We start from the raw sequence: 15394 nt of genomic DNA, 5'->3' as shown, positions 1-15394 counted from the left end.
TTCCCTGGGGAGCAAAATCACTCCAGTTATATCAGAATTCCTCTAGACTTTTCCAGGTGTTCCCTGGGGAGCAAAATCACTCCTGATTGAGAACCACTGGAATAGGTAAAGCTGCCAGATTGGGACTGGGTAAGGGCCAGAAAATGTTTAGACATTTGTGGATAATTAAAAAGAATTACCAGCAAAGTATTAGAATGGGCCTTCATCCTAACATCTAGCTGGGCAATAGTCCAAGTTCAGCTGCCCCCAGGTGGGGAACAGAGGTGGAGGGATGAGCAGAGACAAGCAGCAGCCTAAGTAAGAAAGATGGGGTAATATTTATAAGTGGGAGGATGAGTTACAGATGGAAAACCTGGATCCCACGATTCCCTTATGGCTCTACATCAGGCAGTCATCTTATGTTGGGTCCGTATGTGTGCATTTGAACCAACTAACCATTGTGCATAGATATTTTTTCCTTTGTCCGAAGAAATCACCTTTGCTGAGAATCAAGTATATTCCTATATTGTTGGCATGGTTTGGATAGGTGTTGGCTGAAATAATAGCTACTGCTGAAAATAAAGAAGGATAACCCTAATACACAGAAATGGTTGGTGTGGTAATGACTTTAATGGCCAGGTTGACCCCCTACAGCATCCAATCTAAGAGTTGAGACACTTGGCTAGTACTTTTAGGTTGGACCCTGATGCAACTTTTACTTTGGCAATCCTGTTGCTCTTTTGGGAGACCTCCTCATTCAGGTTTGTCCCCAGATGATCTTAGAATAGGCCATGCATAAACAAAGCTTAAGATTGGTAGAGCCGTACCACCATGAAAGCTTGGGGAAGGAACGTGTAAAAGCAAAATAACATCTTTCCATTCACTCTGGTATTTCATTATTACAGTTAATGCCTGGGGATCTATTTTGCATATACTATGTAATTGCCTCGTTTTTCTTGAAACATCTTCATCTGGATTCTAGGAACCACAGTCTGCTGAATTCCCACCTCCCTTCTCATCTTTCTGAGGGCAAAGTTGTGGCTCAGGGTCCCTTTTCCCTCCACACTCATTCCCAGGTTGGTGTGACTAACAGCATGATCCATGAACAAGCACTCTCTGTGAATTGTTTGTTCTCAGTCCATAGCAAGATAAGTACAGGAAGCCAGAGTGAGTGTTAAGAAACTTTTACAGCAATTTGACAGAATAATTTTATGTCTATTAACTCTATTAGCAAAAAAAAAAGTGGCACTCGTATTTAGTATGTATTTATTTCAGTTTTCCTTAAATTTTGTTTTCCCTTAGATTTATTTTTATTGTATTTAAAAGCATCAGTCTACAGCAAATTAGAAAAAACAAAGGCCATTCACTAGACATATTTTGAAAAGCACTGTCTTAGATGGTCTTATCTAGTCCATAACTTTAAATACTGCCAGAAACCGAATGTTTATGTTCCCTGCAAATTTGTACGTTGAGACCTGATCTCCAATGCAATGGCTTTAGGCAGTGGGACCCTTGGGAGGTGATTAGGTCATAAGTGTGGAGCCTTCATGAATGAGATTAGCGACCACAGAGAAATCCCTCACTCCTGCCATGTGAGGACACAATGAGAACAGAACTGTCTATGAGGAAATGGGCCCTCACCAGACACTAAATCTGCCAGGGCCTTGATCTTGGACTTCTCAGCCTCCAGAACTGTGAGAAATACATTTCCATAGTGTATAACCCACCCAGTCTATGGTATTCTGTCATCAAACATCATCTATATATAGCCAGCATCCAACTTTGTATCACCAGCTTCAACATCCCCTTTGTGTTCCAGGCTCAAATATCCAACTGCCGACTCTACCGCTCCCCTTGGATGTCTTAAAAGCATCTCAAGGGTAACAGGTAACATGTCTAGAAGTAGTCTTGCTTTTATGCTCCTGAATCTTCCTCCTCTCTAATTTTCCTTGAGTCATTAAATAGTATTCACCCAACTTTTCAGGCTAAGCACTTAGGATTCACTCTTGACTAGTATCATTCTACCACACTCTACACCCAGTGCAGCAGTAATTTCTGAAGGCTCTGGCTCTAACAGAGATCACAGACCGAACCACTTCTCACCCTCTCACCACCAAGATTCCAGTTCAAATGACTATCCATCCTCTCTCATTTGGAAAGAGGAAAGGGCCTTCTGCTATTTCTCCCTGCTGCTAAGCTTGACCATGAGAGTCTCTCTTCCACAGCAGCCACATTTGGGTTTTTTAAAAGTAGAAACCTGATCAAGTTCTCTCTGCTTTAAACTCTCCAATGGATTCCATCATACAGAACACAGTGCAGAGATGGAGTGCTACTGTGAGACCCTACATAACTTCCCCCATCATCCTGACCCCACTGTGCTCACCCTTACTGGCTCATGCTGCTCCAAATGTAGGGTCCTCCTCTTGTTTTGTAAACACCCTAAGCACACTCCTGTATTAGGCGCTTTTGAATTTTGCTTCCTTCTGCCTGAAATGTTTTTTTCCTAGACATATGCAGACTTTACTCCCTTGTTTCCCTGAGAAACTTTTTCATGCAGCACTGCTACCCTGAGTCACCTCCTTAATCATTCTACTTTTTTTCACTTCAGTCCACTGTAACTAATTAACACCATAATATAATTTCATTATTTTAAAATTTGTTTATTGCCTCTCCTCTCCCTAAAATATAAAGTCCATGAGAGCATGAATTTTAACCTGTTATCTGATTTTCTCACATCTAGAGAATGCCTAACAGAGAAGAGATCCAAAACAAGTGCTTAAATAAATTGCTTTATTTCAAGCATGTTCATGAATACAAAGAGTAAAAATAGTGCATTAGCTTACACTAGGGTTTTGCTACCTAGGATTATCACTCATTCATTCATTTTATTCCTTTTTTTTGAGAAATAATACACTTTCATAGTCACAGTTTCCAAATAATTAAATATTTATTTATAACTAAATGTTTAAATTGAAAAAAGTTAACTATGGAGAAATGCATTAATTCAAAACTCATCTCTATTCTTATTTTGTGATAATCATTTGAGGTTTTTTTCAGCAAACTTGATATAGTTTGGCTATGTCCCCACCAAAATCTCATCTTAAATTGTAGTTTCCATAATCCCAGTGTTTCCTGAGAGACCTGGTGGGAGGTAATTGAATCATGGGGGCAGTTACCCTCATGTTGTTCTCGTGATAGTGAGTGAGTTCTCAGGAGACCTCATGGTTTTATAAGGGGCTTTCCCCTTTTTGCTCAGCACTTCTCCTTTCTGCTGACACGTGAAGAAGGGCATGTTTGCATCCCTTTCTGACATGATTGTAAGTTTCCTGAGGCCTCCCCAGCCATGCAAAACTATGAGTCAATTATTTTCTTTGTAAAGCACTCAGTCTTGGGTATGTCTTTATTAGTAGTGTGAGAATGGATTAATACACTAAATTGCTACAACAGAGAGTGGGGTGCTGCTATAAAGATACCCAAAAATGTGGAAGCGACTTTGGAACTGGGTAACAGGCAGAGCTTAGAACCATTTGGAGGGCTCAGAAGAAGACAGGAAAGTGTGAGAAAGTTTGGAACTTCCTAGAGACTTGGAGGGCTCTGAAGACAGGAAGATGTGGGAAAGTTTGAAACTTCCTAGAGACTTGTTGAATGGTCTTGAACAAAATGCTGATAGTAATATGGACAATGAAGTCCAGCCTGAGGTGATCTCAGATGGAGATGGGAAACTTGTTGGGAACTGGAGTAAAGTTCACTCTTGCTATGCAAAGAGACTGGTGGCATTTTGTCCCTGCTCCAGAGATCTGTGGAACTTTGAACTTGAGACAGATGATTTAGGGTACCTGGCAGAAGAAATTTCTAAGTGGCAACGTGTTCAAGAAGAAGCAGAGCACAAAAGTTTGGAAAATTTGCAGCCTGATGATGTGATAGAAAATAAAAACCTATTTTCCAGGGAGAAATTTAAGCTGGCTTCAGAAATTTGCATGAGTAACAAGGAGCCAAATGTTAATCACCAAGACAATGGGCAAATGTCTCCAGGACATGTCAGAGGTCTTCACAGCAGCCCCTCCCTTCACAGGCCTGGAGGCCTAGGAGGCAGAAATGGTTTCTTGGGTTGGGTTCAGAGACCCCTGATGTGTGCAGCCTTGGGACTTGGTGCCTTATGTCCCAGCTGCTTCAACTTCAGCCGTGGCTAAAAGAAGCCAATGTAGAGCTCAGGCCATTGCTTCAGAGGCTGAAAGCCCCAAGCCTTGGTGGATTACACGTGGTGCTGGGCCTGTGGGTCCACAGAAGTCAAGAACTGAAGTCTGGGAACTTCTGCCTAGATTTCAAAGGATGTATGAAAACACCCGATGTCCAGGTAGAAGTCTGCTGCAGAGGTGGGTCCCTCACGGAAAACCACTGCTAGGGCAGTGCAGAAGGGAAATGTGGGATTGGACCACCAACAAAATGTCCCCACTGAGGCACTGCTTAATGGAACTGTGAGAAAAGGGTCACCATCCTCCAGACCCCAGAATGGTATATCCACGAACAGCTTGCACTGTGCTCCTGCAAAAGCTGCAGACACTCAATGCCAGCTGTGAAAGCAGCTGGGAGGGGGTGCTGTACCCTGCAAAGCCACAGGGGCAGAGCTGTGCAAGATGGTGGGAGCCACCTCTTGCATCAGCACACCCTGGATATGAGACATGGAGTCAAAGGAGATTATTTTGGAGCTTTAACATTTTTACTGACCAACTTGGATTTCAGACTTGCATGAGGCCTGTAGCCCCTTTGTTTTAGCCATTTTCTCTCATTTGGAACAGGTGTGTTTACCCAATGCCTGCACCCCTATTGTATCTAGGAAGTAACTAACTTGCTTTTGATTTTACAGGCTCATGGGCAGAAGGTACTTGCCTTGTCTCAGATGGGACTTTGGACTTGGACTTTTGAGTTAATACTGGAATGAGTTAAGACTTTGGGGGACTGTTGGGAAGGCATAATTGTGTCTTTAAGTGTGTGATGACATGAGTTTTGGGAGGGGCCAGGAGTGAGATGATATGGTTTGGCTGTGTCTTCACCCAAATCTCATCTTGAATCGTAGCTCCCATAATCCCTGCATGTCATGGGAGGAACCCAGTGGGAGGTAACTGAATCATGGTGGCGATTACTTCCATGGTGTTCCATGTGAGTGTGTTCTCATGAGATCTGATGGTTTTGTAAGGGGTTTTTCCCTCGCTTCACTCTGTACTTCTCCTTGCTGCCGCCATGTGAAGAAGGATGTGTTTACTTTCCCTTTTGCCATGATTGTAAGTATCCTGAGGCCACTCCAGCCATGCTAAACTGTGAGTCAATTAGACCTCTTTCCTTTATAAATTACTCAGTCTCGAGTATGTCTTTATTAGCAGTGTGGGAATGGACTAATACAAAACTTTATGGAAAATTCAATATAATAGCATATATAAGATTGAAAGGAATTGCTTTAAAATGTTTAGGAAAGCCAACTCTCAAATACCAGGGAAGAAGCCATTAACCAACAAATATGTTCAATGCAAATTACAATGTAGTCCTACCTGTTCATCAGCATAGGTCACCTACAGCAATTCTAGACAGCATCTTTAGCCTTGCTCGCTCATTGCTTTTACAGGTTTACTGAATGCCTACCACATGCCTACACTGTTCTGGGGGTAGGGAGGAAATGATATAGCCATCAGCGAAGTGGACATAAGATTCGTTCTTCAGCTGCCTTTCCAAACACCTGTTTCTGAAAGCAGTGAAACTATTTCATCAGTCAAATTCCCTAATTAATTGGCTTAAGGAGCTTTTGCATCCTCCTTGTTAGAGATGTGTTTGCTCCTTCCCCAGACTCTATATTTTAAAATGTCTGAACTGCTTCAAAATTAGGATATATTATTCTCCCCCACCACACAGAGGGAGGACTTAGGAAGTGCTTTTCAGATTTTGATTTATTAAAGACCAAACTATTTGTATTTCTCACCAGGGAGTATTTATATATAAATCTCCCCTTATTAAGTAGTTTTGGATAAAAACATCTCTAAAAACAGCCAAAAGTGTCCATTAAGCAGAAATACACCTCAGTAACACATATGCGCATTTAATAATTTATTCGTCTACTTCCCCGACAGTGAATTGGCACCAACACATAGCTCATTCTGCCTCAGTAAAACCATTACCTCTGATTTTTACTCCAATCTAACAGTAACCACCCGAGGCCAGGGACATGGTATAACTGTCTCCTGGCCTGACCATGGCATTCCTGTGCATTCATGTGATCTGATTTCTATTTGTGAGCTAATTCTATGGGCTGCTGGTTTCTTCGGAGGAAAAAAAAAAGTTGTTCTTTTCCTGTACTTCTTTCTACATTTTTAAATGGTGCTATAACTCCTAAGAATAGTTTCATTTTCCTTATAAAACGGGTTAACTGGACTATACGATATTTTCCTTCCTTTTTTGCCTCACGCCTTGCTTTTCCAGCAAGTGGCCTCTGAGAACACACAAACCAGATGTGGTTTAAAGATTTGTAATTTTTAACTCTTTTTTTATACCCAAGAGCAGCATTTTTGGGGAAAAGAAGAAAAACAATAAGCAAGGAAGAATCTTTCAATCTCCTATAAGATGTAGAGAAGGTCAAAGAATGGCCTCCCATGTATATAATTTTATCCTGACCATCAATCCACAACTTTTGGTAAAAAAAATTCATTTTTTAAGTTGACAATTCATATGTGAACTATCTTAGAAGGGAAGTTGCAAGAATATACACAAACGCTCACATGTATCCAATGGGTAAATCACCAACGGAAGTAGATCTCATGTTTCATATAAGGTAAAACTGTTACTAAAATTAGAAATATTTATCAACAAACTTAAAGTGTGTCTATGTGACTGTGAAGACTATTGTGAAAATATGCAATGTCGTAAGTACAATGTCATAAAATACACAAGATTAGACAGTCCAAAGCAAGATTATCATTAACATATTTCTATATAAAGATTTTCTATAATGAATTTTAATAAAATCACCTTTAGCCTTGTGCCACCTGTTTGCATTGAGAAATATTCAAAGAGAGAGGATCAGGCTAAGAGTTATTTATCTGAGCATATTGTGTTTCAGTCCACAATATGCTTACTATAAGAACACAGGAGACTTTATTTCTCTTAGGAAAATGTATGGTTGTCCTAAGCAACTACATTCTTTATGTCATATAAATATGTAAAATTGTGAAATTGATTGTGTTCTTCTCTTTGTTTAAACAATTAGGGAATTTGGATACATCTGTGACCACCTCTGACAACTGTGCCTATGTCTAGCATTTGCAAATGTTACTTATTCCTTAGTTGTGTTTTCATTTTTCTATCCTTTCTTTCCCTTTGCCTGATTTCTTCTCTATTGGTTTTATTCTGTTGTATCATATGTATTTTGGTTAGCCAGCTCAAATCCATTTTTTAAAAAAGGTAAGGATTTAAGGGGACTGGAAAAAAACACAACCATTTGCCAGCAAAAATAATTTCTCATTGAATATATAAACACCCTCATTTGTGATTCATGACTATGTGCAACAGTCTGTGTTTTTTTTCCTTCAAAGGAGCCAGTTGCATCAAATGTAGTTAATTTTAAAGAGGAAAACACTTCAAATGAAATCTAAAGAGCTCTGTGCCTGAATGGGGGAGCAGTGGATATATTATAAATGGAAGATCTGTTTTTTTAAAGATAGTTCATTTGTAACATGATGTTAAATGGACATTTCAGCTGAAGCGTGAAGACTCTAGGCCAGGTATGTCAAAGTGAAAGGGCAGACCCCACCATCCATAACTTGCAGGAAAGGAAGTGGGGGAAACCAAGGGTAATGAGTCCTAAATTCCTTGCCATCTCAGAAATGGAAGGTTCCATAGGCTAGAAGTTAAGAGAATGATCTTCACATACATTTTCTTTGGAGAGAGCTTTGCTGTCAGTGCCTCATCTCCATGACCTAAGAAAGCAGTTATGGGGTATTCTTCCCATACTTTGGACTTAAAAAGGGGGCTTAGAAACCACAGTGAGATACCACTTTACACCCACTAAGATGGCTATCATCAAAAAGATAATAAAAAGTGTTGGTGACGATGTAGAGAAATTGGAACTCTTACACAATGCAGAAAGGAATATAAAATTGAGCAGCCTTTGTGGTGAATAGTCGGGCAGTTCCTCAAAAAGACAAATATAAGAGTTATCACACAACCCAGCACTCCTAGGTATATTCCACTCCTAGGTATATACCTAAGAGAAATGAAAACATAGGTGCACACAAAAACTTGTACACAAATGTTCGTAGCAGTAATACTCATTAAAGCCAAAAAATGAAAGCAATCCAAATGTCTACCAACTGATTAATGGGTAAATAATACATTGTAAATTTATAAATGGAATATTCTATAACAATAAAGATATTAAGTATTGATACATGCTGCAACATAAATGAACCTTGTAAAGAAACCCATTCACAACAAATCATATATTCCATGATTCCTTTTACAGCAAATGTCCAGAATAGGCAAATCTACAGAGACAAAAAAAGAGATTATAGGTTGCCTAAGGCTAGGGGGATAGGGACAAATAAGGAATAAATACTAATGGGTGTGAGATTTCTTGTTGTGATAAAAAAAAGTTCTAAAATTAGATTGTGGTGACGGTTGTACAATTCTGTGAATACACTAAAACCCACTGAACTGTACACTTAAATGGGTGAAATCTACGGTATGTGAATTTCAGCTCCATAAGGCTGTTGTAGGAAAATACCTTTTAAATAGCTTAATATCTGGTTGAGGTGACAAATGTTGAGTTACAGCTGGAAAGGAGGTGGGTGGAACGTGAAGGGCAAGAGGCATCTGAAGGGCAAGAGGCAGAATCAAGGGCTGCAGGTGGCTAAAAGTCAGCAGCAAGGAGTCTGAAATCCTGTCCCTCAGGCCCAGCTGGAGATGCGGGGAAGAACCCTCAGAGGAAGCTGAAGTGGATGCCAAGATGCTGGATGGCTGTGGAAGGACTTGCAGGCAGCTGGTATAGGGATGCATCTGCCCAGATGAGAGAAACCAATGTTACATAATGATCACTTCGCTCAAACCAAATGGACACCTCATATCATGAAATGAACGTGTACTTTCAATGTGTTAAGGGACACTCCTTTTCTGTGGATCATCTCCTCAGTGCTGGTGACAATGTGGTGTTGCTTTCAGATGTCTGTGGACAGGCATCAGCTCCGCATGGGTGCCCAGGCACCACTCACACTTTGGTTTTCCTCAAGGAAAATCATAGATCTGAACAGAGCATTGTTAGTTGTCTTCTTTCCCTACAGAATGTTTGATTCAGACATTTGCCAAAGTCTTGAATAACGACACTGCCATTTATGGAGAAAGATGCAAAGGTGCAACATAAGGTCTCCTTTTCTAGCAGATCTGTAGGGGACTCCTCAGCTTCCTCCCTAAGATGGTACCACACAGATATGATGCCATGGGTGTTCGCTTTGCTCTTTTAGAGAAAGTAAGCAGGTCTTATTACAAAATTCAAGGAAGAGAGTGAAAAGGGGGGATTTTCTTGACCAAGAGAGCTGTTTTCCTTTAAATAAACATCCTGAGGCATGTGAAGGGGAGAGCCAACATGTTGTTCCCACCCTCCAGTAGATAACAAGAAGGGAAACTGCCTGTATGCTAAGGTCTTCCAGTAAAGCTAACATACCACATCACAACCTCTGGGAAACCACCCACTGAAACATCAGGGCTTACAATTAGGTATGATAGGTTCCTAATTATATATTTTTTGGAAAATAGTTACAAATATTTGGATAGCACTGTGTTGCTCATAAAGCACTTTCTTTATTATATTATTTTACTTCTCATCATAAGCACTTCTCATATTACCCTAATTTCACATGTAAGGAAAGCAAAACTCAGAAAGCCATGATTTAAATAAAGTCATACAACTTAAACGGAGCCAGACTTCATCCAGGCCATGTGACTCTGTAGAGTCGGTGTTAATTATCATACTATGCCTCCTCCCTCGTAGAATGTGTTCTACGGTGCCTCCCAAACAAGTGTTTGGAATATTTCATTGGCACCAGTCCTGGGAGCAGATTTCCAACAGGCAAGTCATTCAGGCACATATGTTGATGCTCATTTTCAGCCTCCTGATTTTACAAAAAGGGAAACTTGCTTTTACATACAAAAAGCAATCAGAGCAGCTCTCTGGGGTCCCATGATGTCAGAATGAGCAAAGATGGTAACACAGAAGTCCAGAACTGATGGGTACCAGGATGCTTTGGTAATTACAGGAAGTAGAGAATATTTCTGTCAATCTTTGCAATGTTAGGTTTCTTTATGGTCAAAGTCCTAAGTATAAAAGGAATTGAGAACTAGGGCACTTGTCCTCTCGAACTCTGCTCTAATGTATACAGACAAAGTGATAAAAATGTATTACTGAACAGTGTGGCCACATCTCCACGATTACCATGAAGCGCAGGGTATTTCTCAAGCATCCTGGTTTCCTTCCACCTTATTGTGCAATTAACAAAATACATTTTAAAAAGATCTTTCTCTTAGCCTGAAACATCTCCTGAAGCAATGCCCTTCCAACATTCCCAAGTCCTCAGATCATGCAAAGTGACACTCTTTATGGAGTAAAATAGTCACTATTCTACCGGTTTACTTCTTTTTAATTTCAAATAATTATTTGGTTTGGTCGGTTGAGTTTTTGAAGTAAGTCTATCTATGGCATTTGTAATTTTATAGATCTGAAGTCACTTGTTCATGAAAATACTTGTTGAACATCTGTAGGGAGACTGTGGCTGTGACTGGAGATATAAAGAGCCATGCTGCACGCTTTCAAGGACCACTTAGTGGAACAGGGGAGGCACACATGGAAACCATTAGCTGTAACAGTATGTCATAAACAGTGCAGAATAGATAAGACAAAGAGCTTCGGACGCCCAGTGGAAAAATGGAGATCAGGGAGAGGTGACTATAGGGAAGAGATTAAGAGGATTCTGGAATGAGGGGGCTGGGGCTCAAATCTTAAATGCTGTCATTTACTGGCTGTGTGACTCTGGGCAAGTAACTGACCTCTCTGTGCTACCATTTCCTCAGTGATGAAATGGAAGGATAACTGCATCTACCTCATGAGTTGTTATAGGTGTTATAGTTAGCCCATAGAAGGCACAGAAGATGGTTTCTGGAATACAGTGAGGGTTATAGAAGCGTCAGATATTATGATAATTCTAGGTCCAACTCTCAGTAGTCATGAGTGGATATCTGGTTCCCTATTATCTGCAACTTAAAATACACAGGAACTCCTGTCTATATCCCATCAGACAGCAGCGTATCAAGTGGCCTCCTCCTGCTGCAAGACAGGCTGAGAATTTGAATGTCTTACTTTTCAGCTTTTAAATTGGAGGAAGACAAAAGGAATGGTAGCTGAGGAAACCAGACCCTGACTGGTAGAATTGTTTTCCTAGAGTATAAATTTTCTTAAAATCAGCCAAATGGAGAAAAAGGGACAAAGATGAAGTAGCAACAACAAGCCCAGTGCTTTAATACTTTTGCACTTAGAAATAATTTGTGTATAGTTGCTATTTTACGTATTTATCACATTTAAGATTGGGTGATTTATGTGGATTTGTTATTTTAATTTGAAACTTATAAGAAAAATCTACTGTTGTATAAACAATATTGTAATATTTATGAGAACTTAAGGGCCACCATACTTGCATATTCAACTTATTATATTTATGTAGATTTCTCTAGAACTTGGGGCCATCTAAGTTGCTGGAGTATTGAAAAGCTTCAAAACAGAAATGAATATGTTAAATTTATGATTGCTGTTTAAATATTTAATGGAATTTAATTAACTAAGTTGTAAAGGTCCTTTTGAAAGTGGTTGCTACACTATATCACATTTATAAATAGAATAAATTGGAGTTAAGCTTTAGAGCTCAAGAAAAAGGGTTCTGAAATTTGCAACTTAAATGCATTGAATATTCATTTAAAAATACAAAAGTTCACATAAATTATCTTTTCTTTACATGAAACACCCAGAAAGACACTAAATCTTACATCTGAAGCAACTAGTGGAAAACAAGCCTTGATTTAAAACCATCAAATCCAATTCCATGGCTTACTATGAAACACTATTCGTCCTGCTCTCGCTTTAACAAATATCACCCTGTAAAACTGTTTTCCAAAAGTCTCCAGTGACCTCTAAGTTGATAAACCCAACAGCCTTTAATCCTCCATCTTCCTCAAACTCAGTGCACCACACTATTCAAAATACCCCAGTGCTCTCTTCTCTCAACACTATCCCAACCTTGTAAGCAGTTCAGCTTCCGATGATGTTTTCTCTGGATCATCATTCACCATTCACAAAATAAATCTCACTTCCCTCAGGTCATCTGCTCTAAGCCCTTCTCTCCGGACATTCATTATCCTTGAATGTGTCTACTTCTTACATTTAACCTCTATTCTAAAATCCCTGGAAGTGGGTTTTAAATAGCTGTGGAAATCAAGGCTTGTACTTCCCATCACTTTCTAAACACATTTTCCCAAATTTCCAGCTGAAATCTCAAACATGTAATTGTTCATTACCTTTCTAGTCAAAAATATTTCAGTTGATGTTTCCTCTCCATGATCATGGCACCTGTGTCCTTCCAATGACTAAGCTTAGCATCCCCATCATCACTGCTTACACACCTAGAAGCAATTGGCTGGAAGTCCCAGTGACACTGCAATTCATTCCTCAACAGCCCTTTCCATTTCATTTGTTATTACTTTGATTCACATCCTCTGAAATGGTCTCTCCACTTCTCTTCTCTACCTAGTCTATTAATCATGAACTCTGTTTTCAGAAGCAATCCTTTATAGAATACCTAGAAATGATTTTAAAAAATAAACTTCACAGCGGCTCATGCCTATACTCCCAGCACTTTGGGAGGCCAAGGCAGGCGGATCACCTGAGGTCAGGAGTTCAAGACCAGCCTGGCTAACATGGTGAAACTCTGTTTCTACTAAAAATACAAAAAATTAGCCGGGCATGGTGGCACGTGCCTGTAATCCCACCTAATTGTGAGGCTGAGGCAGGAGAATCGCTTGAACCCAGGAGACGGAGGTTGCAGTGAGCCAAGATCATGCCCTTGTACTCCAGCGGGGGCAACAAGAGCAAAACTCTGTCTCAAAAAAATAAATAAATAAACTTCAGAGCCTCCATGTTGTCTAATAGAGTACAAAGGAGGCAAGGCCCTCCATGATGGCGCTAACTTTACATCCACCCATCTGGACATGCTTTCTCTCTTTTCTATATATGTAAGGTCTACTTTCACTTCAAGACCTACATGAGTGCTCCTTGAATACTTCTCTCATGCTTTCAATTGTGAAACGCTCTTTCCTTTTCTGAACTACCTGAACATATGTATCATAAGTCCTTCTTTTGTGATTATTATATCACAGAAAAGAGAAAGAGGAGATTAAAGAATTTTAAAGAAAAAGGCAAGCAAGAAACAGAGAAAGGAAGGAAGGATGGAAGAGGAGGGAGGCAGAAAAAGAGAGAGGGAAGGGTTAATGGACATAACTGATGGTTTGCCTGAGACAGGCCTTGGGAGAATCTTTCCCATTTGTTACCCCACTTGATACTTACAACAACCACTCCTATATGTCTTACAATAATCCACATTGTTCAGAAGAGGGCACAGATCAGAGAAATTAAATGTCTTGCCCAAAGTCTAATCAGCTAGTAACATTTAGAGCAGGGATTAAACCCATGACTTGTGATCGCCAGCCCCAGAGGAGCAGTATGTGCCTCACTGAGGTCCCATAGAGAAGAGACGGCGTACAGCATCAGAAGCATTTGGACAGCGCCACGGTGAGGCAGCATGGCTTTGGAGGGAATGAGGAAGAGGCCTGTGCAGCAGGATCTGTGGAAAGCTGTGTGCTCAGCGCAGCTGGGGACAGCAAGGTCAGGGACTGGGCGGCAGCAAAGGCATTAACAAGCTTTTTTTTTTTTTTTTTTTTGAGACCCAGTCTTCCTCTATAGCCCAGGCTGGGGTGCAGTGGCACAATCTTGGTGCACTGCAACCCTCCATCTCCCGGGTCCCGGGTTCAAGAGATTCTCCTGCCCCAGTCTCCTGAGTAGCTGCGATTACAGGCACATGCCACCAAGCCCAGGTAATTTTTGTATTTTTAGTAGAGACGGGGTTTCACCATGTTGGCCAGGCTGGTCTTGAACTCCTGACCTTGTGAACCGCCTGCCTCGGCCTCCCAACGTGCTGGGATTATAGGCCTGAGCCACTGCACCCGGCCATTAACAAGCTATTTTATAGGAAAATAAAACTATTGTTAAAATTAAAAAATAAATATTTACAAAACATTAACCTGCAATTTATCACAAAGCTTGTTTCTTTTAGTTTAGTAAATAAATGACAATTCCTGGAGAAGCTTGCCGCTACCACTGCATTCACCCTCCACAACAAACATTTTAATCACGTTATATTTATGTCAGACTCCAAATTCTGGCCTCTGCCCCTTTTATAGGCCTACAGGTTGTATTAGGACAGTTATGTTTCAGTCATTTTTGTTGCATTAACTCTTCCCAGTACAGTGTTCCATTCATGGCATACTAAATGAATATTTGTCAGATTCATGAATTTTATTTGGACTCCATCAATCATTTTAGAAAAACAATTATTATAATACACTATTTTCTTCTTGTAATTGTGTTCACATTAAATATGATTTCTGGCCGGGGCGGTGGCTCACGCCTGTAATCCCAGCACTTTGGGAGGCTGAGGCGGGTGGATCATGAGGTCAGGAGTTCAAGACCAGCCTGGCCAAGGTGGTGAAACCCCGTCTCTACTAAAAATACAAAAATTAGCCGGGCGTGGTGGCGGGTGCCTGTAATCCCAGCTACTCGGGAGGGTGAGGCAGATAATTGATTGAACCCGAGAGGCGGAGGTTGCAGTGAGCCGAGATAGCGCCACTGCACTTCAGCCTGGGCGACAGTGAGACTCTGTCTCAAGAAAAAAAGAAAGAAAGAAACAAAAAACATGATTTTTAATACTTATGCTTGGTCCAAGGCACTGGATACTATTTTAGTACTCACGATCATGCTTGTTAGAGTGTGACCATTTCTGTAATGTCTGGATAGTTTGACTTCTTTTGAATATAAACCATATTATAAAATATATAAATATGTAACGTATAATATAATACAATACTAAATGAATAGTGAAGCTAACATCACTTATCTCAAGAAAGAGGAAGTCCTGAAGGTGCAAAGCTCTTCTGCCCTTTCCAGATTAAAGTGCAAGGGCAATAACATTACCCTTGATGGCATTTTGTTTTCTATATCTGACTTCAGCAAGTTGAAGAAGAAAATTGCCCATGAAAATAAATTCTTTTTAACATCAGTTGTAGT

The 15394-nt window shown here is 40.2% G+C and overlaps 1 protein-coding gene and 1 long non-coding RNA gene across 6 annotated transcripts in view; one reads left to right on the top strand and one right to left on the bottom strand.

Annotated features, from left to right (window-relative positions):
• Window positions 1-13677, top strand: part of LOC124900946 (uncharacterized) — a 35367-nt gene extending 21690 nt beyond the window's left edge. The window contains exon 2 of the long non-coding RNA XR_007058706.1: window positions 57-13677. This is a non-coding gene — a long non-coding RNA (uncharacterized LOC124900946). The remainder of the gene's footprint in view (window positions 1-56) is intronic.
• Window positions 1-15394, bottom strand: part of FBXL7 (F-box and leucine rich repeat protein 7) — a 439614-nt gene that overhangs the window by 191687 nt on the left and 232533 nt on the right. The gene's annotated exons all lie outside the window — the stretch shown is intronic.

The sequence above is a fragment of the Homo sapiens genome, chromosome 5, assembly GCF_000001405.40.
Source record: "Homo sapiens chromosome 5, GRCh38.p14 Primary Assembly".
Taxonomy (NCBI): Eukaryota; Metazoa; Chordata; class Mammalia; order Primates; family Hominidae; genus Homo; species Homo sapiens.
The sequence above is the reverse complement of the archived record's forward strand: the minus strand, read 5'-3'. Positions and strand labels throughout refer to the sequence as shown.